The sequence below is a fragment of the Homo sapiens genome, chromosome 10 (genome assembly GCF_000001405.40).
Source record: "Homo sapiens chromosome 10, GRCh38.p14 Primary Assembly".
Taxonomy (NCBI): Eukaryota; Metazoa; Chordata; class Mammalia; order Primates; family Hominidae; genus Homo; species Homo sapiens.
Window position 1 is genome coordinate 17,775,883 of NC_000010.11, and position 25,842 is coordinate 17,801,724.

Consider the following 25,842-nt stretch of genomic DNA (forward strand, 5'->3'; position numbering starts at 1 on the left):
TAAAACCTGATGAGTTAAAAACCAACCTTCTAGTTTTTTAGTAAATGTAATTATAATTAATTTAGTGCTGCATTCAGACTATTGAAAGCATTTTGAGCAAAGAAAGCACAATAATTTAATGCTTGTAAATGGTTTTCTCTAAACAGGTTCAAAAGAGCATTAATGGGTCCGCTGATGTCTTACCTGATATGTTACCTGACCTGCCCGTATCTCTGGTTCTGTTATCCCTGATCATGGTTGATATTATTGAAAAACTCAGGATATATCCTCTTAGAGGGAGTCAAAAGAGTAAGTGTTCTTTTAAATGTGAATATTTTTTAAAGTTTGATATATTTTTCACATTTCTGCCACTGTGTTATCTGACAACATGTTTAATGATACCTTTTCTTAGGGCTAACATTACTGATAGAAGATTGCAAATGAAGATATCTAAACATAATTATTTTTAAACCTACCTTGATAGCTAGATAGCTGCTTTTGTTTGCTATTCGCATTTTAGTAGTACTGATAAATTAAAAATTATCAAATAGTTAATACCAAAAACCTTAATGTTTATTCCAGCAAGAAATTATCCAAGTAAATTATTATAGATGTATATTTTTCTAGGAAGTCTCTTAAAGCTTATGTTTAAATGGATTAATAAAAAGCTTAGTTTGGAGACTTTTACTACAGGAATTAATATGACTGTGGTAGTTGTGTCCTAGATAATCATGTGTTTTTAATTGTGAATTATAAAAATGCCAAAGATCACACTAATAAAACCAAGATATGGCTGGGTGCAGTGGCTCACACCTGTAATCCCAGCATTTTTGGAGGCCAGGATGGGAAGATGGCATGAGCTCAGGAGTTTGAGACCAGCCTGAGCAACATAGCAAGACACCATCCCTATAAAAAAATAAAATTTAAAGAAAACTCAACAAGATGTGTCACATCTCCTCCAAAGTGATGAGTTGAAACTAAATACAGATTGGCCCTTACAAAAAGATATTTTGTTAATGGAATATTTTATTTATTTAGTCGTAAATTACTCCAGCTTTCATTAAATTTCTTGCGGTAGTATCTGTGTTTAATTGGCAATATTTGTATGCTAGTTACTGTGTGGCTAAGATTTTGTCATGTTGTGCATTTGAAATGGGTAAGGTTTGTCAGGTTGTTTTCTGATGGGGTGAATGGAGTCAACTGAGTGAGCCTCAGGAGACAGCTTCAGAGTGACGGGGTCACCACTGGGGCTCGTCAGTCATTTATGGGTCAGATATCAGTACCTTCCAGTCACTCTTGCTGCTCAGATGGAAAGCAAAACTGAGGTGGAGGCCACTAGGAAGTTGGAGAATCTGAGCCTGTCACTTTGTACTTCATCCTCGGGTGGGAGATGACGGTCTGTTATGGCTAACATAACACAGGTGACATGTAGGTGGATAAGATGGCAGCCGGGGCCATCTGTTGAGTGGAAAGCACACCCAAGTCACATCTGCCCTCCAGAGTCAAGCGTATTTGTCTTAAACTCAGGAGAGTTGGGAATCTCCAAATCCTTTGCTACATCTCTAGATTCCTTAAAAATGCAAATCTATTTTTAAATATAATTTTTTTTTCAATTTGAGCTGGGGTCTTGCTATGTTGCCTAGGCTGACCTAGAGTTCTTGAGCTCAGGAGATCCTCCTGCATCAGCCTCCTGAGTAGCTGGGATTCTAGCTGTGCACGGCTGCACCCAGCGTTAAATTGGATGGTTTCTGATGACTCTGTATTTTCCATATTAATATAAATTTCCTGTCCAAGTTAAAAGGTCTTTTTAAAAAAGAAAGACACGTGTATCTTTTTGGGAATAAGTTAATAACATTTTATTTTTGTTAGTGATGAGTTGTTTTTTTGTTTTGTTTTGTTTTGTTTTTGAGACGGAGTCTTGCTCTGGAATGCAGCGGCATGACCTCTGCTCGCTGCAACCTCTGCCTCCTGGGTTTAAGCAATTCTCCTGCCTCAGCCTCCCGAGTAGCTGGGATTGCAGGCATGTGCCACCATGCGTGGCTAATTTTTGTATTTTTAGTAGAGACAGGGTTTCATCATGTTGGCCAGGCTGGTCTCGAACTCCTGACCTCAGGTGATCCACCCACCTGGGCCTCCCAAAGTGCTGGGATTACAGGTGTGAGCCACCGTGGCTGGCCATTAGTTGGGTTTTTAAAGGGGAATTTCCTTGCATCCATAACTTCAATAATGACACTGAGAATTGAAATAAGACATCTAAAGAAGAAGTAGATCTGGGGGAGAAGACTCTAGCACAATTTGTACAACTGCTTCTCACTTGAAGAGCCTCCTTCTTGAGCTGTTCTCCGTCCAAATTTAGGAAGATTAGTGTCTGGTTTGATAGTTCCACCGTTTAATAAATTCACACTTAAAAAAACTAGCAGTCACTTGAAATGCCTTTGTAAATATGAATCATACATGCTTTTAATTTGTATGCAAAGACCTTGAACCCAAATTGTCTCCTACACTCATTTTAACATGAAATTAATGATATAAATTATGTAAATTTTGAATCCATGAGGTTTTCTCATTTATTACTTGGAACATGAATTAATATATGAATACATTAACATGTAAATCTTAAATACATAAATCTGAACCTAAGCAAATATACCATAAATATGGTTTCACTACAGGTGATACTTGCAAGTAAAAAAAATTGACTAGAGGCGGGGGATGAACAAGATCTAGAATAATTTGGCTCCCTTTAGGAAATGTGGGAAAAGTGAATATGTTCTTTGCTCTTTCCAGATAGTCTGAAATGCATACATGTCTGTCAGCTAGCAGCAGTTTGGACTTTATGCTAGATGAAACCAACATAATCTACAACGTTTTGATTTATGGACACTCTCACAGCATCCTAACCATCTTCATTCCAAGCTACAAAACTTTTATCTTTGTGTAGCTTTTCTTTTTCCAAAATTTTAAATAAGTTATTCTGCTGACAAAATATGCTTATGCTTAAAGCAGTCTTCACCGGACCAAGGAATCCTTTCTACTAACTTCGTATTACCAGTGGAAATCTCTCAGTATCAAGTAATTATCATGCAACAGCTTCTAAGTGCATCGTTTCATGGAGGTAGAGCAGTGCATGGGAGCATTTTTCTGACGCGTGGATCTCTGTAGCACGGCAGTCTCACAGATGTACGTGGTACCTAGGAATGCCAATCCCCAGTCCCGTGCAGAAATAACAAGAATACAAAGGATAGCCTGTGGGTACAAATGAGCGCACCTTAATGCTTCCATTTGAATTTTGCTAACTGAATCCCATGTATTAACGCTCATTTAGCATTGCAACCATACCTGTTTCTAGGACATTACCATTTTTACGGAGAGATAGATAGGTTGCCAGCTCTCACTCCAGGCCCAGCTCCCTGGCAATCATGACCTTGAACCACCTAGAAGCAAAGTGAGCCCCCATCTAAGGTCTTGTGATTGCTGCTGCTGCTCTGGGCAATTTCAGCTTTGTAGGCAGAGTGACCCATCTTGGTGGGGTACACACTGGTTTGAGGCTCAACAGTAAAGAAGAGGACTTTCATCTCCTCTTCTTCACTGTCTTTTTTCTGCTCCCATTTAATTAATTAGTTAATTAATTAATTTTTTGAGACAGAGTCTTGATCCTCCTGCCTCAGCCTCCCAAGTAGCTGGGAATACAGGAGGGCACCACCATGCCTGGCTAATTTTTGTATTTTTAGTAGAGATGGGGTTTCACCCTGTTGGCCAGGCTGGTCTTGAACTCCTGACCTCAAGTGATCTGCTTGCCACAGCTTCCCAAAGCACTGGGTTTATAGGCATGAGCCACCGTGTCCACCTGCTGCTGCTGTTTTAAACCAGACCCACAGTGGGTCTCCTGTGCCCTTATTTGTTGGTCCAGACCCCTGACTACCTTGCTGCATCTGCTTTGCACTCAGCTTTTCACTCTCACGTGCAAACCCCTCAGCATGCTATTTTCTACCACTCCTGCTCGGCTCTGCTCTAAATGCTGTTGGTGCTGCTGTTGCTTGTGTCTGGGATATTGGTGGATGTTTTGCTGGTGCTTTAGACTGACTTCCTTTCTTCTGCTAGTGGGAATATTGGCTTCCTGCCACCGAGTTCTAGTTTTCTAAAGAGGTTTCAGGCAGAGCACTATAATAACTGTTTTTTTCTTGGAAACAACAGCCTTTTAGCCCTTAGAGTGTATATGTACCAACAAATTGGCTGGGCTTCAGTGATTTCAGGTAGTGGCCATTCTACTCCCCTGGAAACCACCATTTCCCCTCCCACTTATAGAACTCGTGGCTGAATGTGGCAGAGCCAGACTCCTTTGAGGCAGCTTTTCTCCATGGGGGTCTCATAGATCCTCAAATCAGGCTTAGCTATATTGCCTGAACCTCAATCCTTGCCATCGTTAGAGTCCTCTCCTTGTCACTACCTAGATTCCTTAACCCCCATCAAAACCAGTGGGTGCAAACAGACCTATGAAAGTGTCCATGATTAGAGAGAGAGTTTTCAGTCCTACCTTCAAGACTCATTTGAATAGGACTTGCAGCCCAGGCCAGACATGCTGTTACAAAGTGCTACAATAGATTTTAATAGCTAAAGTACTATGGTGCCACAGATGAAGGAAAACTTCATTTTATCTAAGGTGATGAAGGTAAGAGAAGACTAAAGGGAAGATCTTGGGTTTGCAGGAGTTTGTAGGTAGACATGGTAAAGAAAGCTTTCTACATAGAAGAAAGGTTGGGCCTCCAAGAACTAAGGCGTGTATGTAGCAAATGGCCATGTTTGGGAAGTGAAAATGAAGCAGTGTTGTTGTCTGGGGTAGATACCCAAGGTTCGTCATCTTGTGCCAAGAAGATTAAGGACATGGACACACACAAGGAGTGAGTTTAGGAGCGGAGGTTTAATAGACAAAAGAAAGAAAGGAGAGCAGCTCTCTCTCTTTCGAGACAGAGGGGCTCCTAAATGGGAATTCCAGCCATGACAGAGTGCACCGGGTTTTATAGACAGGCTTTAGGAGGTGGTGTCTGATTTACATAGGGCTCAGAGATTGGTTGGACTGGGTGTGATGTTTACATAGCACCCAGAAAAGGCTGGTCACCCCACCGTAATCTTATTATGCAAATGGACTTTCCACTTGGCTGGTGCCATGTTGCCTGCTCCTCACTGTACATGCAGCTGGCAAAGAGAAGGGAAGATGGAGCCACCATTTTGACCATGCCTAGTCCCAGGTGGCCTTTTCCTATTGGCACAGCTGCCAGCATTCACCTGTACACGCTTCCAGCTTGCTTGTCTGTGTCTGCAGCTCGATTTTACAGGCTGCTGTTTGTTAGAAAATGATTTGGGAGTGCTTTTCATTAAAAGGAAAACCTTACCAAGGACTCCCGTACCCTCATATCTGCCTAAATAATTTCTTCTTAACTCCTATATCAAAATTAAGCTTGGTTGGATTTCACACCTTGAATCAACAAACCTGGTGCTGGGAGGCAAGTTTCCTTCTTAAAACTGACTACTGTTCATCAAATTGTCATTTCAGAAACCTACAATGTTACTTCAAGAGTGACTAAAAATTTGCATGCAGCCCGGCGTGGTGGCTCACGCCTGTAATCCCAGCACTTTGTGGGGCTGAGGTTGGGGGTGGGGGGGATCACCTGAGGTCAGGAGTTTGAGACCAGCCTGGCCAACATGGTGAAACCCCGTTTCTACTAAAAATATAAAAATTGGTTGGCCGTGGTGGCATGCGCCTGTAATACCAGCTACTGGGGAGGCTGAGGCAGAAGAATCGCTTGAACCCAGGAGGCGGAGATTGCAGTGAGCTGAGATGGTACCACTGCACTCCAGCCTGGGTGATAGAACATACCTCTGTCTCAAAAAAAAAAAAAAAAAAAAAGGAAAGAAAATTTGCATGCGTGTGTGTGTTGTATGTGTGTGTTTGGGAGAAGGGAGAGCTTCATCATGATCAACAATATTTTTGTGTGTTTAAGAGTTGATGTTTTATGTGAGATTTCATTTGGGGGAAAAAAAAGCTTCCTCTGCTAAATGTTTAAAAATCATTAACCTAGGGCTTCATTCAGCATTGTAACCGCACCTGTTTCTAGGACACTACCATTTCTATGAAGAGATAGATAGGTTGCCAACTCTCTCTCCAGGCCCAGCTCCCTGGCAATCATGACTGCACCACCTAGAGGCAAAGTGAGCCCCCATCTAAGGTCTTGTGACTACTGCTGCTGCTCTGGGCAGTTTCAGCTTTGTAGGCAGAGTGACCCGTCTTGGTGGGGTACAAACTGGCTTGAGGCTCAACACCTTTGAAAAACAGATAAACCTTTTAACATGCCATGTTGAATTTTTTCTTTCCAATGTTGCATTTTTCCAAAAGAACACATACTCATTTTAAAAAGTTATAAAATAGAGATAAACAAAAAAGAAAAGGTAAACCAACCATAACCCTACAAACTAGAAATTTGTTACTGGATAGCATCTTGATGTACATTCATGTGTTAAGAAAACCTATTCTGCAACTCTTCTTTTTTTCTTAATGTATGGTGGGCATCATTCTCATTATTACATCTTCTTTTTGTTTTATTTTGTTTCATTTTGAGACAGTCTCACTCTGTTGCTCAGGTTGGAGTGCAGTGGCATGATCTCTGCTCACTGCAATCTCTGGTCCTGGGCTTAAGCGATTCTCGTGCCTCAGCCTCCCGAGTAGCTGGGACTACAGCCGTGCACCACCACGTCCCTCTAATTTTTGTATTTTTAGTAGAGACGGGATTTCACCGTGTTGGCCAGGCTGGTCTTCAACTCCTGACCTCAAATGATCCACCCGCCTCACCTCCCAAAGTGCTGGGATTACAGGTGTGAGCCACCGCGCCAGGCCTCATTATTACATCTTCTACTGTGTAGAAGGTGTTATTGGTCAAATTATATTCCATTATGTTAATGAGCCATGATAATATATCTAGCAGATCCCCAGTTGTTGAACAACTAGATTTGTTCCAGTTTTTAACTATGATAAATCCTGCTGTTATGAGTCTCATTCAGAAGTAAAAGGGTTGAGAAGGACAAGGATATGGTTAGAATGCCTGAGGCGATGTGCTTGAGTTGGACAGGGCAGACAAGTCATGGTTAAAGCACGTGTCCATGTGTAGTGCAGGTGGGCTGTGTTTAAAGCGCCCTGTGCTCCGTGTGGGAGTCAGAAACCTCTCAGTGAGGTGACTGGCAAAACAGAAGCTGGGGATGGAGAGAGTTAACTGCCTCTGGATGGGAGCCGAATGATATCAGGATGATGATTGCAGAGTGTCCTCAGAAGGCCTGGAGCATCTGCTCATGCCCAGACTCCTCAGCAAGAACACTGCCAGAAGAAAGTGACTACTAGGGACTGGTTACACAGGCTGGGAATGTCGAGGGGCCCGTAATGGGATCGTATGTACTGTGCGGTGTGGCAAGAGGGGTTTGGCTGCATTAGGGAGAGCCGCATGGTCAGAGATGGCTGGCTAGAGGTGAGGTCAACAGGCTATTTGAGTGGAAAACCTCAGCTCCCTGCAAAGGAGGCGGTTTCCACTATCACATCAGCGAGAGGTGCCCGGTATGATGTTGGCAGGGTAAGGTTTTCAAATAAATCTGCTCCCAATGGCCCTCGTCCAATGCCTTCTGTGTGGTCTTTTAATATCAGAAACTTGAGTCAGTGCCTGCAGGCACCTCAGCAGCATAGATGGCTATTTCCTTAGGTCAAATGTTCAGATGCAGAACTTCCGGCTCACAGTCCGTGCAAGCTTTTAAGGTTTTTGATATGTGTAGTTAAATTGCTCCCTCTAAAGAACTTACCCTCTAAATAGCAACGTAAAGAAATACCTGTTTCTCCTTAACCTTACAACCTTGCAACACTGGAAATTTATTCCATTTCCTCTCTTGCAAAATAGTATCGTAGGCAAAATAGTAGTAGTTGTAGTTGTGTTTGCCCTCTTCTCATAGGCTTATTGGCCAGTTGTATTTTTCTTTTAAATCATATATTTAGGTCTTTGATCTGTTTTTATGTTGGTATGGCCATTTTTCTTTTATTTTCTTCTTCTACTTCCTTTTTTTTTCCTGCTGATTCATGAGTTCTATAAATAGTAAGGCTGTTAAGTTTTGCCTGTCATAGGTGTAGTGTATGTTTCAGGGTTCTCATTTGCCTTTTAATTTTACTATGGTGTTTTTCATATAGGGAATTTTAAATTTTGATGTCATCCAAGCTATTAGTATTTCTGTATGGTGTAGTTATGCTTAAAAAGTCTTTTTTTCACTACAAGTAAAAATTATTTACCAATTATTTTCCCGAAGCAGTTTACATTTAAATGTTTAATGAAGAAAAATTGAATTCTCTATAGGATACAAGTTGGTTAATTTATAAATAACCAATAAGTTAGACAAGATAGTCAACATGTTTATTTACCTGAGCTGGCAAAGTTTTTAGACTTCTGATTCTATTGTATTTCTTCTGGTGTTTCCAACATATAAAAAAGCACTTAATAGAGTGCTTTAAAAATATCAGTGCCAAGCACAGCTGCCCCAGATGAACTGAATCAGGATCTCTGGGGATGGGATTAGGCATATTTGGATTTTAAAAAAGGAAACCTCATTGAGTGACCCTGATTTATATCTCTAATTAAGAGCAGTGCTTCTCATCCTTGGCTGTACATTAAAATCAACTATGGAAATTTAAAAGTTTTGATGCCTAGGATGCTGCCTGGTTAATGAAATCATAATTTTTGGAGTGAGGCCCAGGCACTACTAATTTTTAAAATTAGTGATTCCCAGGTGATTCACAATTGGGAAAATAATAGGAGTGGATAGGGAGAAAGCAAGCAAGGGGAATTTACATCAGATAATGCCCCAATTTCTTCATGAAATAGGAAGCAAATTTTCTGCTGAGAACAATGGAGATGGATAGAGGGGAGAGGACCCAAAAGAATGGGGAAGCTCTGGGGTAACTGCTGTGGGGAATGGAGATGAAGTGGGCGAGGGATAGGGAGACAGATGGATGAGTAATGTTGAGTGTGCAGCAGAAATTGGAACCAGGAATTTGTTCTGGGGCCAATCCAGATAATGTGATTTTTTTCCTCACTGAGGCTCAGAAATCTGGGCCTTGCAGGTTGAAAAGATAGAAGCGTTAGGACTGACCCAGATTTGGGAGTTCGCAGAGCAGGAAGGAAGAAGGAAAAGGAACTGTTTCTTTCTGAGTTATTTCTTCTTGGTATTGACTTACCAGAATATAATTTCTGAAAATGAATGCCAACAGTAATTTTTATGGAAAGTCTAAGCTATTGCCATTGAATCGGGGGCCACTGGTTATCACAAATACAGGGACTCTTAGCCGTGGGTTTCCACCAGAGATCATCAACGTGTCTTCACTATACATATGCATGAGCTCTACCTAGCGATCAACAGACTGGAAGACAGAACCTGGCATCTGTAATTTTTTAAAGCTCCGCCATAGATTATGATGCCCACTCTGAGAACCTCTTACTATAGAAAGTGCTAGGAGCTGTCATAAATATCAAGTTAAAAGCAGAGAGGCCAATCCAAGCACAGGCCAATCCAAATTCTTAAAGGGAACTGGCTTTCCAAATTTCCTTGAAATGTAACTCATGACACTTTTACCAAATAGCATGTAAGAGATGTCATAGACATTAAAAGGAAACAAACAAACAAAAAAAGGATGTAGCTTTTTTTTTTAATAAAATGAATGGCATTTTGAGTTCCTCTTTAGTTCTTTTTAAGAAATAGCTTATTATACAAGATGAGCCCCTAGTGCGAGCTGAATTTCCATAATGTGTTGTTTTGCAATGTGCTCAGGGGTGACTATGAGGAACACTGTGTCCGGGGACCAACCGGGGGGGGATATTTCCTTTCCTACCCTCCCTTTGCTACTTAGAAGAAGGAAGTTTCAGGAAAGTATGTTAGTTCTAGGATTTTTTTTCCTCTTCTCAAGAAGTAAGTGGGCATCTACTAGACTGGGGTAAGAGAAGGGTAGGATTTCTGATTTATATCTTCTAATGAAGTGCCAGCTGTCTGGATTAGACCCATGAGATTGGGCCAAAAGCTATACTGGAGTGAGCCGGGTACCAACAGACATAGAATGTCAGGTGCTATCAAAATTTTCAGTGAAAGCTCCCTTTGATCTTGACAGCTTTATATGATTTTAATAATTTGGCATTAAATTGTTTGTTTTTCCTAAGTGGGCAAAAGAATTGTGAATAATTTTAGTATATTAAATGAGACACTTGCAAGTCGCAGAATACTTTGGAAACAAATATTTCAGGGAGACTGATAGGAATAAGGGAATAAAAGAATTCAGCATGTGTTACTTTATAATACCAAGCCTTGTGTTCCATATTATTATGGACCAGTTTGACATTAAAGGCATAGGTCACTGATTTTCAATATTTACATTTTCATATCTTAGGTCAAAGAGAGCTGATCACCTGCATAATGTGTGGATGTTCTTTTTCTCTTCTGTTTTTTGAGACAATGTCTCATTCTGTTGTCCATGCTGGAGGGCAGTGCCACGATCACAGTGCACTGCAGCCTCGACCTCCTGAGCTCAAGTGATCCTCCTGCCTCGGCTTCCCAAAGTGCTGAGATTACAAGCATGAGCCCCTGGCTCAGCTGATGTTCTTGATCATTTGTTGTTGATATTGTGTGTATACTAATAGTAAGGTCCTATCTAGAAGAACACCGCTTTTCTCATGTTCTGCTTCCACTTGCTATTTTGGGACCTTAAGTCCTTCTGTTTCTGGATGTGTGTGCATAGGTGGGGGGACTGGAGGGTTCTCAGGGCTTCTTCCTATGAGATCACAAACATGATCTTCTTGAAATTACACATCTGCCCTGATATGGTTTGGCTGTGTCGCCACCCAAATCTCAACTTGAATTGTATCTCCCAGAATTCTCACATGTTGTGGGAGGGTCCCAGGGGGAGGTAATTGAATCATAGGTAAACCTGACAGTAAATAAATACCTGTCTTTCCCATGCTATTCTCGTGATAGTGAATAAGCCTTATGAGATCTGATGGGTTTATCAGGGGTTTCCGCTTTTGCATCTTCTTCATTCTCTCTTGCTGCCGCCATGGAAGAAATGCCTTTCACCCTCTGCCATGATTGTGAGACCTCCCCAGCCATGTGGAACTGTAAGTCCAATTAAACCTCCTTTTCTTCCCAGTCTTGGGTAGGTCTTTATCAGCAGCATGAAAACGGACTAATACATGCCCTTTCTTCCCCCTGCCTGGTGACCCCTGACGCTACTGGTGCCTGGATGGTCTCTGGCATGCTTTGAAGCACTGCTGCTGCTGTTGGTGCCAACTGTCTGCCCAAGCACTGTGGACTGTGCCATGCCAGACAGCGCTGGCACCCTCTGTGGGGCCTGATGTCGCATTACATCCTCTCTTAGTGTTGAGCTAAGTCCCCTTAGTGTTGCCGGTCCCCAGCCTGTGCTGCCAGGTGCTCCCCATGTCTTCCAGGGTATGTTAGTGGAATCAATCGTCATGGCCTTGCTTAAGGGGCTCCCTCCAGGACTGGGCCATAGGGGCATCTGAGTGGTAGACTCTGTGCAGAGCTCCACATTTTTTACCCATTGACTCTACGGGAACCAGAGTCAATGGCTGGGCCGAGCTTTCATGCTTTGGCTTCCTTGCCTTAGTGCAGGTTTTTTCCCCAGAATGCTCATTGCTCCCTCATGCTAATAGATTCCAGAAAAGAAATTCCTCCCACCTTTTATTCAGCAAATCTTTATGGTGGATCTGTTCCATATCAATACCAGGCACTCCACTGGTGCTGGGGGTACAAAGCTGAGCAGAAACAGGCGAGGCTGCCTTTTGCGGAGCTCCTGGTCTAGACGCTCCAGGGCTCTTAAACTACACTAGTAAATATGCATAAACCAGGCTGACGGAGGTTCTTAAGAATGCAATGACTCAGGTTTAATCCATTATGCATCAGTTTCTGTCATCCACTCCTGCTGGGATTGCTAGCTCATGTCTGTATCCAAGCACTTAAAACTCCTGAGTATTTGGAATAAAGGAGGAAATACGGGTAGAGGCATTTCAGACCATTTCAAAGTATAGGATTATTTCTCTTTGGCAATGAGATAACTATATGCACCTTGACATTCTACCTTACTATGTATATATTTTTAAACATATTCAATGGTATATTATTTTTATATATATTATAAAATAAATAAATGTTTCAGGAACATTGATAAGAATAACAGAACATGAAGAATTCAGCATGAATTTATTTATATATTAGATATTTTGAGTAAAATATATCTAGAAATATATATCATTATAAGTAACATAAATAATATAATTACTTTTGTATAAAATATATTGTAAATTAAATAACATTTTCTAGTCTAACCATATATCTCTTGGGGAGAAGGACCACAATATGAATGAAAAGCTGAAGATTAGGAATTTTAGATTGGAACATTTTTTCAATATTTAAAAATGGAATATTTAAAAATTGATAATATTAAGATTTTAGCAACACTTGTCGAGTGTTAGATAAGTCTGTAAAGCAGCAGTAGAGGGAAAAATGATCTCTAAACCATCCAGTGGGCTGGGCATGGTGGCTCACACCTGTAATCCCAGCACTTTGGGAGGTTGAGGTGGGAGGGTTGCTTCAGCCCAGGAGTTCAAGACCAGCCTGAGTAACATAGCAAGACCCCATCTCTACAAAAAAAAAAAAGAAAAAAAAAAAGTTAAAAAATTTTAAACCACCTAGCTTTCTAGTTGTGTCCTCTGACAAAATAATTCTCTTAACATTTTATATTGTATAAGATACAGAAATGATACATTTATTTATTGTCAGATTTACACAATGAGTGGCATGGAACTGAAATGGGATCTTAGGGTTTTTGAATTTACTGGACAACAATCTCATGCTTTCTGTAAAGAAAGTTGCCGCAACTATTTCACAGCTGGGAATGCATGCCCACAGGCTTTTCCAGAGCTGATGACGGGTTGAATATTTGTCTTGAATTCATTATTATTTGTTGAAAACTTGTACACAGTTTTGAGCACAGGCAGTAGTAGTATACTGGTCAGTGTTTAATCAGTTGCCTTTGTGGAGTGGGGTTGAGGAGTGGGGAAGTCCTGATTTGTAACATTTGCCAGTGTCTGTGGTGTAAATTCTCCCACTATGACCGATTTCAAGCTACCAAGGTGGTATCACTGAACACTGATAATGGAATTAGGAAGAGATACACACAAGAGACTCTTGTTAGCTGGTGTAAGCTGCCTTCACCTGTGTAGGTTATATCTGTAGGGTAGCATTTTTCTTTGTGATGTGAACAGGCAAATATAAGAAACTCATGATCTTGTTTAGTCTCTGTAGTGTGACAGTCTTTCTCTAACTTGTGACCTCCCCTGATATACCAGATAATGAGTTATAGTGTAACTATAGCCAAAGTTAAACAAATTATAGTCACTCTTACTATTTACTGCAACCTAATATATTCTATTCTGTCCCAATTAATTTAAAACAATTAATTATTTCACTATTGCTACTTTTTATTTATTTAACACATACATGACCATTCTATATGCCAAACACTATTTTTAAGTGCTTTACAGATGCTGACGAATTCCTTCACTGTGAGGTTGATGTCCCATTTCATCATTTATTGCTTGGCAATATTACTTGTCTTCCCTACCTCAGTGAGAGTATGTCAAAATAACAGTGTTTAGCTGGGTGTGGAGGCTCATGCTTGTAATTCCAGTGCGTTGGGAGGCTGAGGCAGAAGGATCGCTTGAGGCCAGGTGTTCAAGACCAGCCTGGGCAACATAGTGAGATCTCCATCTCTACAAAAAATTAAAAAATGAGCCAGGGCCGGGCACGGTGGCTCACGCCTGTAATCGCAGCACTCTGGGAGGCCTAGGAGGAGGATCCCGAGGTCAGGAGATTGAGACCATCCTGGCTAACATGGTGAAACCCCATCTCTACTAAAAATACAAAAAAAAATTAGCCGGGCGTGGGGGCGGGCGCCTGTAGTCCCAGCTACTCGGGAGGCTGAGGCAGAAGAAAGGCATGAACCCGGGAGGCGGAGCTTGCAGTGATTCAAGATCGCGCCATGGCACTCCAGCCTGGGCGACAGAGCGGGACTCCGTCTCAAAAAAAGAAAAGAATAAAACAAAAAAACAAAAAACGAACAAAACAAAACAAAAAAATGAGCCAGGCGTCATAGCGCATGCCTGTAGTCCCAGCTACTTGGGATTCTGAGGTGGGAGGATCGCGTTTGCCCAGGACATCAAAGCTGCAATGAGCCAGGATTGTACCACTGCACTCCACTCTGGGTAGAGAAAGACGCAGTCTCAAAAATAATAAATAAATAAATAAATGATGAAGCTGAAGTTCTGCTTTCTAAGGTTTAGTTCAGAGTGCTGTATTTGAATGGAAGCTGCTAGAAGGGTGAGAATCATACCTATTGATTGTTGCGTCTTCCACAATTCCTAGTACAGTATCTTAGACATTGTAAGTGTTTGAGACAGGGAATAAACGAATGGATGAATGAGTGAGCCTGTAGTCCCAGATAGTTGGGAGGCTGGGGCAGGAGGATCGCTTGAGCCCAGAAGCTTGAGGCTGCAGTGAGCTATGATTGTGGCAACAGAGTGAGACCATGTCTCTAAAGTAAATAAATAAATGAATAAAGAAATAAATAACAGTGTTTCTAATTTACCTTGAAGTGTATTTTAATTTATTGCCTTTTTCCCTTTGTCCTCTGAAATTATTATGACTACCACTGCTTTGTGTGCCGAATGTTTTTTCAAAAATCATTTTAAAAGGACTGGTAATTTTCTTCTGCTCCATATATTTTTCTCAGTGTTATGCCTAAATCATTCATTTTTAGATTCCTCTAACCATTTTCCCCTTGGGAGAAATAGATTTGGGGGATTACCCTAAGACTAGCCATATTTGTTTCTGAGTAATTATGTTTTGGCTGCTGTGAATTGGGTAACAATCTCTTTGCACATCAGCTGCCTCTGCTGACTTCTGTGTCTTCATTCTACTGCCTCACATTCGCCTCTAAGTTGCTACTTTTGCAACAACCTAATAAACTTAGAATAAAATCCAAAACTTTTATCCTGGACCATAAGACTCTCTATAATCTGTCTCTGCCACAGACAGTGTGGTACAACAGTTAAGGGTTTGGGACTCAAGTTCTGGTCTTTCTACTTGCTAGCTGTGTGACCTTGGAAATAGTGCATAATCTCTCTGTGCCTCAGTTTACTCATCATTAAAATGGGAAAATAGGCTGCATGCAGTGGCCCATGCCTGTAATTTGGTGCGTTGGGAGGCTGAGGCAGGAGGATCACTTGGGTCCAGGAATTTGAGACCAGCCTAGACAACATAGCAAGTCATCCGTGTCTCTATAAAAAGTAAAAAAAAAAAAAAAAATTAGTCAGGTGTGGTGGTGCAAGCCTGTAGTCCCAGCTATTTGGGAGGCTGAGGCAGGAGGATCGCTTGAGTCTGAGAGTTGGAGGCTGTAGTGCGCTATGATTGTGCCACTGTACTCCGGTCTGGGCAACAGAGCAAGACGCTGTCTCTAAAATAACGTAAAGTGACATAAAATGGGAAAACCATAGGGTTTTAATAAGTGAGTTAAAGCATATAAAGGGCTTGGAAAAGTGCCTGATACGTACAAAGTTCTTAATAGTCACCAGCTCTTTTCCTCTCCCACTTCCTCTCTGCATCCCCCACCTCTCACCAAACTCCTTTCTTTCAGTTCCTGCTAGCTGAAGGATATTTACACAGGCCATTTCTACTACCTGCAAGTTCTTTTCTCCATTCTTCACTGAATCAATTCCTACTCATTCTTACTATCTCTGCTTAACTGTCAGGTCTCAGACGAGCCTCCTTTGACTCCCCATTGAATCCCCTTTGATTATCTCTCATCACAGAATTTACTTTCCTTTAAAGCCCAGCCACCATTTATTATTCTATATTTATTGGTGTGATTGCAGGAGACTCACAGTCATGAAGCTATGAGCTACTTCTGTGCTATTTGGGATGCCATTTGCCAACGTCTGTCTAGCCCAGGCTTGGTACGGCACTCTCATATTTGCTCATTACAGGCAGTTGGGAGTCTAATGAATGCATTTTTAGCATTAGCTTTCTTCCTGGATGTTTTTAGGTGCCTTTTCTTTGTGATTCTTTTTTCTTTTCTTCCTCTTTAATTAATTAATTAATTATTTGAGATGGAGTCTTGCTCTGTCACCTAAGCTGGAGTGCAGTGGTGCAATCTCGGCTCACTGCAACCTCCATCTCCTGGGTTCAAGTAATTTTCCTGCCTCAGCCTCCTGAGTAGCAGGGATTACACACGTGCACCAATGTGCCCGGCTAATGTTGTGTATTTTTAGTAGGGATGGGTTTCACCACGTTAGCCAGGTTGATCTGGATGTCCTGGCCTCAAGCGATCCCCCTGTTTCAGCCTCCCAAAGTGCTGGGATTACAGGCGTAAGCCACCGTACCTGCCTCTGTTTTTATTTAGATAACATATTGTTTTCCTGTTCTCTTTGCAAGAGAAATGAACACTCTAGAAAATGCCTCACTACTGAATTGTTATCATGTGCCTTTGTTTTACGTTAGGTGTTAAAAACTTTTGGAGAACAAGTTAGAGGTAAAAATAAATCCATAAATAAACAACTAAGTAAAGTATGTAACAGTTGCCTACTTAGCCTCTTGTCTGCTAACAAAATGACATTTTCTTGGTCATTTAGCTTACACAGTGACGACCAAAAGTCGTTTCAGCAACTAGAATCAGATGTGGGAAACTAGATCAAAAGGCTGCTAGTTTTACTTTTTACAGGGCCATGTGAGCCTCTCAGGAGGTGAGGAGAGCTCTCTCTTTATGCTTATATCTTCTATAGATTTTGCACCAATGAATATTGTTTTACCCAAACAGAACAAATAACAACTAACAACAATGGGAAAAAGAATTCCAGCTCTAAGTGGACATTTAGAAAGTACTTATTTGGAGAGAAAACTCACCCTGGAGCTAAAGGGAATAGTATCAAATCCATGACCCTGTACTTTGCTCCGAGATGTGCTTGCTGGTCCCCTCCAATGACCAAAAGGTTTCTCAGCTTTGTTAACTCTCCCCAGCCCTCTGGGAGGCCATCAAAGCTTTCCAGCTAATAGTTCTAGTACTTCTTACTTGAAAAGAGGAAGCAGAGTCCCTGTACCCCCTAATTTAATTTGAGCTGTGGAGAGATATGAAGTTCACAGACCTAATCTCACCACATACACATGTATCTCATTAAAACCAAACTCCAGCTAAGAATTCATTGTTCATAGCAGCTGCTCTTAGCATCTGAAATGTTAAGACTCTCCCTGACTGTTTAAAAAAATGTTAATGTGTCACTTTTGGGGTTTCCACTTCCTGGCTTTGAAACAATGCTGAATTTGCAATCATCTCTCAAAAGCCCAAATTATACACTGTGTTCTGAATGTTGACAAAGCCATTGGGATTTTCATTATGACAGTTTCACCTACCAAGAGAGGGGAACAAAAGTTCTCTAGGACATGACATATTATAAGGCAATATTTTCTATATTGATTTTTAAATTCATTTTTATTTATTTTATTTTTTGAGATGGAGTCTCACTTGTCACCCAGGCTGGAGTGCAGTGGTGCGATCTTAGCTCACTGCAACCTCCTCCTACCGGGTTCAAGCAATTCTCATGCCTCAGCCACCAGAGTAGCTGGGATTCCAGGTGCCCACCACCACTCCCAGCTATTTTTTTTGTATTTTTAGTAGAAATGGGTTTCACCATTGGCCAGGCTGGTCTCGAACTTCTGAACTCAGGTGATCCATCTGCCTCAGCCTCCCAAACTGCTGGGATTACAGGCGTGAGCCATCACGCCTGGCTCTATATTAATTTTTTAAATAACATAAGAGGTGCAATGGATACAAATGAGCATCTGAGTTTAAAAAGAGATGGTTTTATGAATTTTAGAATAATAAATTGTTGTATAATTTTCTCCCTTACTTTAGTATTATTTATTAAGATGATTCCCACTCAGGCCACTGTGAATTCTAATATTGGTAAAGAAGTTTCTAAGGTCATGGGTGCTGACATTTACCTATCAATGATTCATACTGGAAGTAATGTGTCATCAAGAATTTAGATTATCTTTTTAGTTTATAAAAATGCTCAATTCACACTTAAACTTTAAAACTAATTAGTTACTTGTATAAAAGAAATTAGAAATGTATTGTGTCCTTTAAACAAACTCCTACTTACAGTAGGTAAGCATTTTATTAGTTATTCATAATAATTTATTTATTTTAAAATGTTTTCAAATTCAGTTCCACGCGCTTCAACAAATTTTTATTGACTTTGTCTCTTTGACCTTTAGAGCTATTCAGTCTAATGGCTCCTTTTAAGTTTTGTTTTATCACGTCATATGGCAGCTCAGCATGTTTGCTGAGTAAACTTTGTCAAGTCCTGATAATTTCTTAGCAACCAAAATGGTGTTTTAGTGGATAAATGTTTGAAAAAGAACTCGTTATACCTTCTGTGCATAAAAACAATGCCATCAACATTGTTTTAGGTCTTGAGATTTGAGAATTTGTACATAATCCAACCTCAACACCCATGTATTATACATGGAGAGGAACACACAGACACACACACGCACACACACACACAATGGTGTTGCATCACGTGCCCTATTCATTCAGATCACTGGTGTGTTGACCATGGCCACAGAAGAGATGCTTTAGGTTAACCAATCCTAACGATCACTTCTAGAATCTTTGCAAAAGAACAGCTTAAAAACCTTGGATTCAGCATGTCACTCTTCACTATGAATCTCTAGTGGTCAAACAGATTCCTTCTAGGCCAGGCACTGTGGCTCACACCTATAATCCCAGCACTTTGGGAGACCAAGGCATGAAGATCACATGAGGTCAGGAGTTTGAAACCAGCCTGGCCAACATGGAAACCCCGTCTCTACTAAAAGTTAGCCAGGCATGGTGGTGTGCACCTGTAATCCCAGCTACTCGGGACGCTGAGGCAGGAGAATCGCTTGAACCCAGGAGGTGGAGGTTGCAGTGAGCCGAGATCATGCTGCTACACTCCAGCTTGGATGACAGAGCAAGACTCTGTCACAAAAAAACAAACAAACAAACAAAAAACAATGGATTCCCTCTTAGCACCAAACTTCACGCCTGGAGATCTAGGGTATGGTAATCTCTGTAAGCCTCTTCTTACAAAATGACAGGGCCTTTGTCTTATAAAATGACAAAGTTGGATTGGGGGACTTTTAGATTCACTTGATTTTATGACACTCAAATGTTTTATAATTAGCTCATGATCTATTGCATCTAGACAGGTAATAGCAGCCATAAAGTTAAGAGTTTGTCAATTGGAGTCAAACAAATCTAGGTGTGAATTGCAGCTCTGCCCAATACTAACTGCATTTGAATATTGGCGTTCTTTAACCTCTCAAGCCCGTTTCCATAGTTGTAAAATGGGATAGTAATCCCTATTTTCTCAGCTCTGTTCTGAGGATTAAATGAGATAATATGTGAAAGCGTATAGCTTAGAAACCAATAATGTTTGTTATTATGGAGTGGTAAAAAATGACTTCGGATCTGAATCCAGGAAAATACCAAGACACCAAGAGCCTTCTCCACCTCTATGTTTTTTCAATGTGCTACTTCAGTGTTATCTTGAAATTCCATGGGTAAAATCGGCCTCAAATAATAGAATATGTGGGGAGGGAGAGCATCAGGATAAATAGCTAATGCATGTGAGGCTTAATATCTAGGTGATGGGTTGACAGGTGCAGCACGCCACCATGGCACACATTTGCCTATGTAACAAACCTGCATGTCCTGCACATGTATCCTGGAACTTAAAATAAAATTAAATTAAATTAAGTGAAAAACAAAAGAATATGGAGAATTCCACCTTTAAATGGAATTTTAAATTTGAATAACATTTGAGCTAAAATGGATACATTTTAAAAACTAAAATGTAAATAAATCTGTTAATTGCAGGTAGTGAAAATGGACACATCCATTCAACCTCTTTGCAACACATAAAAACTGTGACGGAGCAAGTGAGGCAAAGTCCAGAAAACGCTGCATCTCCCCAGGCAACCAACAGCACCCAGGTGTCGCAGCCATCAGGAGCCATGACACGGAGCCAGGAGTCTGTGTTCATGGGACCCCAGGAGCCCTCCTGTGACTCCGGAATCCTGAGAATGATGTCCCGGCGAGATGTCCGGGCAGAGTTATTCTTATGGAGCTTTCTCCTGTGGTCTGACACGATAGAAATGGTGCGTGTGGCTGGTCACCCCAACGTGTACAAGTCAAGCTGGCTATACCCAGTCTACATATTCAGTTTTATTTCTCTCCTTCGAATTACATTCACTCCCCAAAACCCTCTTCTCAATTCCCTGAGCGTCCTGCTGCAAGATTTACCATTCGTTTTTGTTAGACTTGGTTTAATCATTGCCCTGGGGACTATCACACCCGTACTGGGCCTGTGTAAAAATATCCTCGTGACTCTCTCTTACATTTACTTCAATTACCTAACCAGAATCAGGATTTTTTCTGCCTTTGAAATGTCTCCATTTTAAAAAGGAAATGGGATCTAGTAAGGCCTCTTTGTGATACCTGTGTGCACATTTGTAATCCTTCTTTTTTTCTTGGGGCGTAGGTGTTTGCACTATAAAGGAAATGACTAGATTGTAGAGAATAAGCCATTTTTACTAACTCTAGCATATCAGTTTTTTTTTTTACATATACAAATGGTGCTAAATTTAAGTAAAGTAATATTCTTATAAGTTGGCTCTCAGGTATTTCTAGAAAATGTTAGCAGCTAATTTTAGTTAGTTATGTATACTGAGGTCCCCAACCCCTGGACCATGGTCCCAGTACTGGTCCGTGATCTGTTAGCAAGCAGACCGCACAGCACGTGGTGAACCTCAAACTGAGCGTTCCCGCCTGCATTCCGCCTCCTGTCAGATCAGCAGCAGCATTAGATCCTCATAGGAGCCCAAACCCTATTGTGAACTGCGTATGCAAGGGATCTAGCTTTCGCTCTTTAAGAAAATCTAATACCTGATGATCTGAGGTGGGACAGTTTCATCCCAGAACCCAACCCCACCCCCAACCCTGGCTGTGGAAAAATTGTCTTCCACAAAACTAGTCCCTGGTGCCAAAAAGGTTGGGGACCACTGATGTATACCACGCTTTTTCTAAGAATACTCTTCAACGGAGCCCTTTAAAAAACTAAGAACCTTTTCCATCAAGTTAGCCCAAGAATAAGATTTTTATCTTTTATATAGATAGCATTATATGAATTGATTGATTAAATTTAGTTTTAAAAAACACACTTGAAATTATTGAATAATTTTTAGGTTATACTTTTTTTTTTTTTTTTGAGACGATGTCTCGCTCTTGTCCCCTAGGCTGGAGTGCGATGGCGCGTTCTCAGCTCACTGCAACCTGTATCTCCCGGGTTCAAGCGATTCTCCTGCCTCAGCCTCCCAAGTAGCTGGGAATACAGGCACCTGCCACCACGCTGGCTAATTTTTGTATTTTTAGTAGAGACGAGGTTTCACCATGTTGGCCAGGCTGGTCTCAAACTCCTGACCTCAGGTGATCTGCCCACCTCGGCCTTCCAAAGTGCTGGGATTACAGGTGTGAGCCACCACGCCCGGCTGGATTATACTTTTTAAAAATTTGAAAATTGTAGTTTTAGGGGTTCCTTCAAAGGTGGAATTATATTCTTTATTCCATTGTGGCAAGGGACTTTTATTCAATAAATTGATTTCAGCATAAAAAGCAATTCACTTTAACAGATATTTGGCTCAGTTTAAGGCTTAGCTGTATTGCCAGTACTGAAGTACTAATATGAGTGTTGTTTAGTATAATGAAGTCAAGGTACATCAGTAATACCAAGATAAAGTTTCATAATAAAAAGCCATAAAGTGAAGACAGAGATTTCAAAGTAAAAGAATATTTTATTTGTGGAATTTGATACTTTGATAAATAATCAAAGTACAAGCCCTGTTTAAAATTAAAAGTTCGGCTTACAAATATAATAGCCAATGTATCAGTGTCTTATGTGATACTATATCATGGATATATTGATGTTATAAAATAATTAGATACAGAGTCATGCAACTTGCTTTCACCCTGTTGGGACACTCTGAACAGTCAGCACTGTTCATTTGATAGTAATTTTCAGATGCTAGAGAGATTTGTGAGAGGCTGATAATGCAAGAGTAATGATTTATGTAGCCAGTTTCTTCAATGATCTGTGATAACAAATCATTAAGAATGAGACATATGGCTTAAGAATGAAGCTTAAGAATTTGACATATGGCCGGCTGTGGTGGCTCACACGTGTAATCCCAGCACTTTGGGAGGTTGAGGCAGGTAGATCACTGGAGTCCAGGAGTCTGAGACCAGCCTGGGCAACATGGAGAGATTCTACCTCTACAAAAAATACAAAAATTAGCTGGGCATGGTGATCTGCAACTATAGTCCCAGCTACTTAGGAGGCTGGGGCAGGAAGATTGCTTGAGCCCAGGAGGTCAAGGCTACAGTGAGCTATGATCATGCCACTGCACTCCAGACTGGGCAACAGAGTGACACCCATCTAAAAAAAATAAAAGAGAATTTGACGTTGTGTTATTCTACGCTCCACCAAATACCTCTCCCCTTGCCACCCTGTCTCCCTTTCCCTCTGTTTTAGGATTTTTCTCACACTGTAAAAGAAGATTTACTCACAGTTGTTAAAAGCTTGCCTTCCAGCTTTCTAATTTGAGGTAGGTTCTATAACCTCTGTGGGTCCCCGTTTCCACATGTAAAAGATGAACATAATACTAGTACTACATTAATAGGGTTAGGAGGGTTAAAGGGTAAAGAGTCCTTTGAGCACATTTTCTGGCAAACCATAATAACTTGATAAATGCTAAGCATTGGAACGGGTACCAAGTCTCCAAGAAACAAGTATCTCAATGCAGTTTTAGAAATTTCCTGTTTTATTCTTTTCTGTGGCCCTGCTCACCCTCTGGGAATAATCATTTCAACTTTGCATTTGTGAAAAATAATACATACAATCTTAAGGTTACTTCAGACTATACTTTTTCATCGAGGAGTATTGTATTCAAAAGTGATCGATCTGCTGAATATATAAATTAAAATGGACACAAGCCTTCATTCATCAGACATTTGAGTGTCTGTCCTCTGAGTTCCCATAGAATCTGAATTACACCACTTTATTCACACTTACATTATGTGTTTACTTTTCTGAGTGTCCTATTAATCTTTATTCCTTAAAGGAAAGCCTGAGGGCATCTTGTTTAACAATGCATCTCTCTCTTCATCAATCAACGCTGCAGGTGCTTACAAGACTTATAACTTAAAAAAATTATAATACAAGGCTCAGCGCAGTGCCTCAAGTGCCAACAGTTTCGGAGGCCTTGGCAGGCGGATCACTTGAGGCCAAGAGTTCGAGACTAGCCTGGCCAACATGGTGAAACACCGTCTGTACTAAAAATACAAAAATTAGCTGGGTGTGGTGGCACGCGCCTGTAGTCTCAGCTACTTGGGAGGCTGAGGCAGGAGAATCACTTGAACCTGGGAGGCAGAGGTTGCAATGAGCTGAGATTGCGCCATTGCACACCAGCCTGGGTGACAAGAGTCTCAAAAAAAAAATTATAATACAAGTAATTACTTTCGAATTCTGCCATGGGTATCTTTTTATTATTAAGAAAAGCCTGTCATCAAGGGATTCATTTATGATATTCCTAAATATGAAAATATTTTGTGTAAGTATATATTTATCTCCATATTAGAACTTAGCAACAGTGCTCAGATAAACTCAAAAGTATTACTTGAGTTTAGAATGCATTTTGTATCTAATATTTTAATATGAATGTGCCTGATATTTTCGGAAGTCACAACACTATACAAATAATGAAGGCATGTACAGAAGATTATGTGTAGGAGGAAAATTGAGTAGCTAATTTAATTTCATTTAATATTTTACTTAGAGTGTATACATGTTTATAGACTGCAAGTCTATGGGATTTAATAGATATTACAGCAAATTACACTGCGAAAACATTGATAGTTCTACACTGTAATTAAATGTTATATATATTATTAAAATTATTAGGTTGGTGCAAAAGTAATTGAGGTTTTTGCCATTGAAAGTGGTGGTGCATGCCTGTAATCCCAGCTACTCGGGAGGCTGAATCAGAATTGCTTGAACCCGGAGGGCAGAGGTTGCAGTGAGCTGAGATCTCGCCACTATGCTCCAGCCTGGGCAACAGATTGAGACTCTGTCTCAAAAAAAAAAAAAAGTCAAGTACAGTTAGTTAAAGGAATGTGCATTTAAAAATTAATCTATGATTAGGCTATTAATATATAGTCTAATAATTTTATTGCATTATAATTATAAAGTAGTTTTATAATTTTATAAAATTTTATTGATGCTGTAATTTTTATAAAATTTTATTTATTTTATAATTTTACAAAAAATTCTAATACCTGTAATACACTTTTTAGTGCCTTTTCTTTCTAAAAGTTAATGTTTGAAATTACAATGTGTAAATGTTATCTCGTCTTGTTTTTCTTATTAGGGCCCCATTTCACTGAATGACAATTGCAATGAGGCATAGGAAAGAAAAGGGAAATGAAATTGCTTGCTGAAGTCCTACTATGTTCTGGGCACTATGCTGTTTGCCTAATACATAATTGCCTTGTGCTGTGTACCTTGGAGCAGGGCCTTACATAGTGAATATATCAATAGTTGTTCACAAAAAGAGCAATATACCACTTAGAAGCTACAAAACTTAAAAATGGCTACTTATACTCCATAGAAGATATAGTAAATAATAGAAGAAAAAAATGAAATGGCTAAAGACATTTTGTTTTACAATGGGGCTGTTTTTACATGTTAATTAAAATTCTATGTTTAAACAAATCTCTTGTGATGGCTGTTTCATTATGAGAGGATGCATTTGTATTAGTCAGTCCTCTAGAGGGACAGAACTAATAGGATAGATGTATATATGAAAGGGAGTGTATTAAGGAGTATTGACTCACACGATCACAAGGTGAAGTCCCACAGTAGGCCATCTGCAGGCTGAGGAGCAAGGAAGCCAGTCCGAGTCTCAAAACCTCAAAAATACGGAAGCCGACAGTGCAGTCTTCAGTCTGTGGCCAAAGGCCCGAGGGCCCCTGGCAAACCACTGGTGTAGGTCCAAGAGTCCAAAAGCTGAAGAACATGGAGTCCAATGTTGGAGGGAAGGAAGCATCCAGCACAGGAGAAGGATGGAGGCCAGAAGACTCAGCAAGTCTAGTCCTTCCACGTTCCTCTGCCTGCTTTTATCCTAGCTGTGCTGGCAGCTGATGAGATGGTACCCTCCCAGATTGAGGGTGGGTCTGCCTCTCCCCATTCACTGACTCAAATGTTAATCTCCTTTGGCGACACCCTCACAGACACACCCAGGAACAATACTTTGTATTCTTCAATCCGATCAAGTGGACACTGAATATTAACCGTCACAGCTCTTATACAATGTTCAGCTTCCTGGTTGTCTGTCTCACATCCACCTTCTGTGCTCTGTAGTAATCGAATCCAAACACACAAACAGTAGAGTCAGAAGGTGAAAAAATAGAGAAACAGAGAGCCATGTACACCTGCCCACACAGAGACACTGAGAACCAGATCCAACTGCATTCGAAAGGTGTTTCCAATGTTTACAGGTGAGATTAATTAATGAATTCTAAATCATACAGCGCCCCTTCAGGTTGAACAATGCACAACCTCTACATCC

The 25,842-nt window shown here is 40.6% G+C and overlaps 1 protein-coding gene across 2 annotated transcripts in view, besides 1 other annotated feature; it reads left to right on the forward strand.

Annotated features, from left to right (window-relative positions):
* The window catches only part of TMEM236 (transmembrane protein 236), a 48,668-nt gene extending 23,682 nt beyond the window's left edge, over positions 1-24,986 (forward strand). For both annotated transcript variants that reach the window (NM_001098844.3, XM_017016574.2), the window contains exons 3-4: positions 147-288; positions 20,039-24,986. In NM_001098844.3, the coding sequence (NP_001092314.1) occupies positions 147-288; positions 20,039-20,622 (726 nt within the window). In that variant the 3' untranslated portion in view covers positions 20,623-24,986. The remainder of the gene's footprint in view (positions 1-146; positions 289-20,038) is intronic.
* Positions 11,478-12,095: an enhancer, noted in NCBI's record as "H3K27ac-H3K4me1 hESC enhancer chr10:17829359-17829976 (GRCh37/hg19 assembly coordinates)". NCBI's record gives its function as "activates a minimal SCP1, AML or CMV promoter by ChIP-STARR-seq in primed H9 embryonic stem cells {active_cell/tissue: H9 hESC(primed)}" and the evidence as "EXISTENCE:reporter gene assay evidence [ECO:0000049][PMID:30033119]".
* Positions 24,987-25,842: the final 856 nt, after the last annotated feature.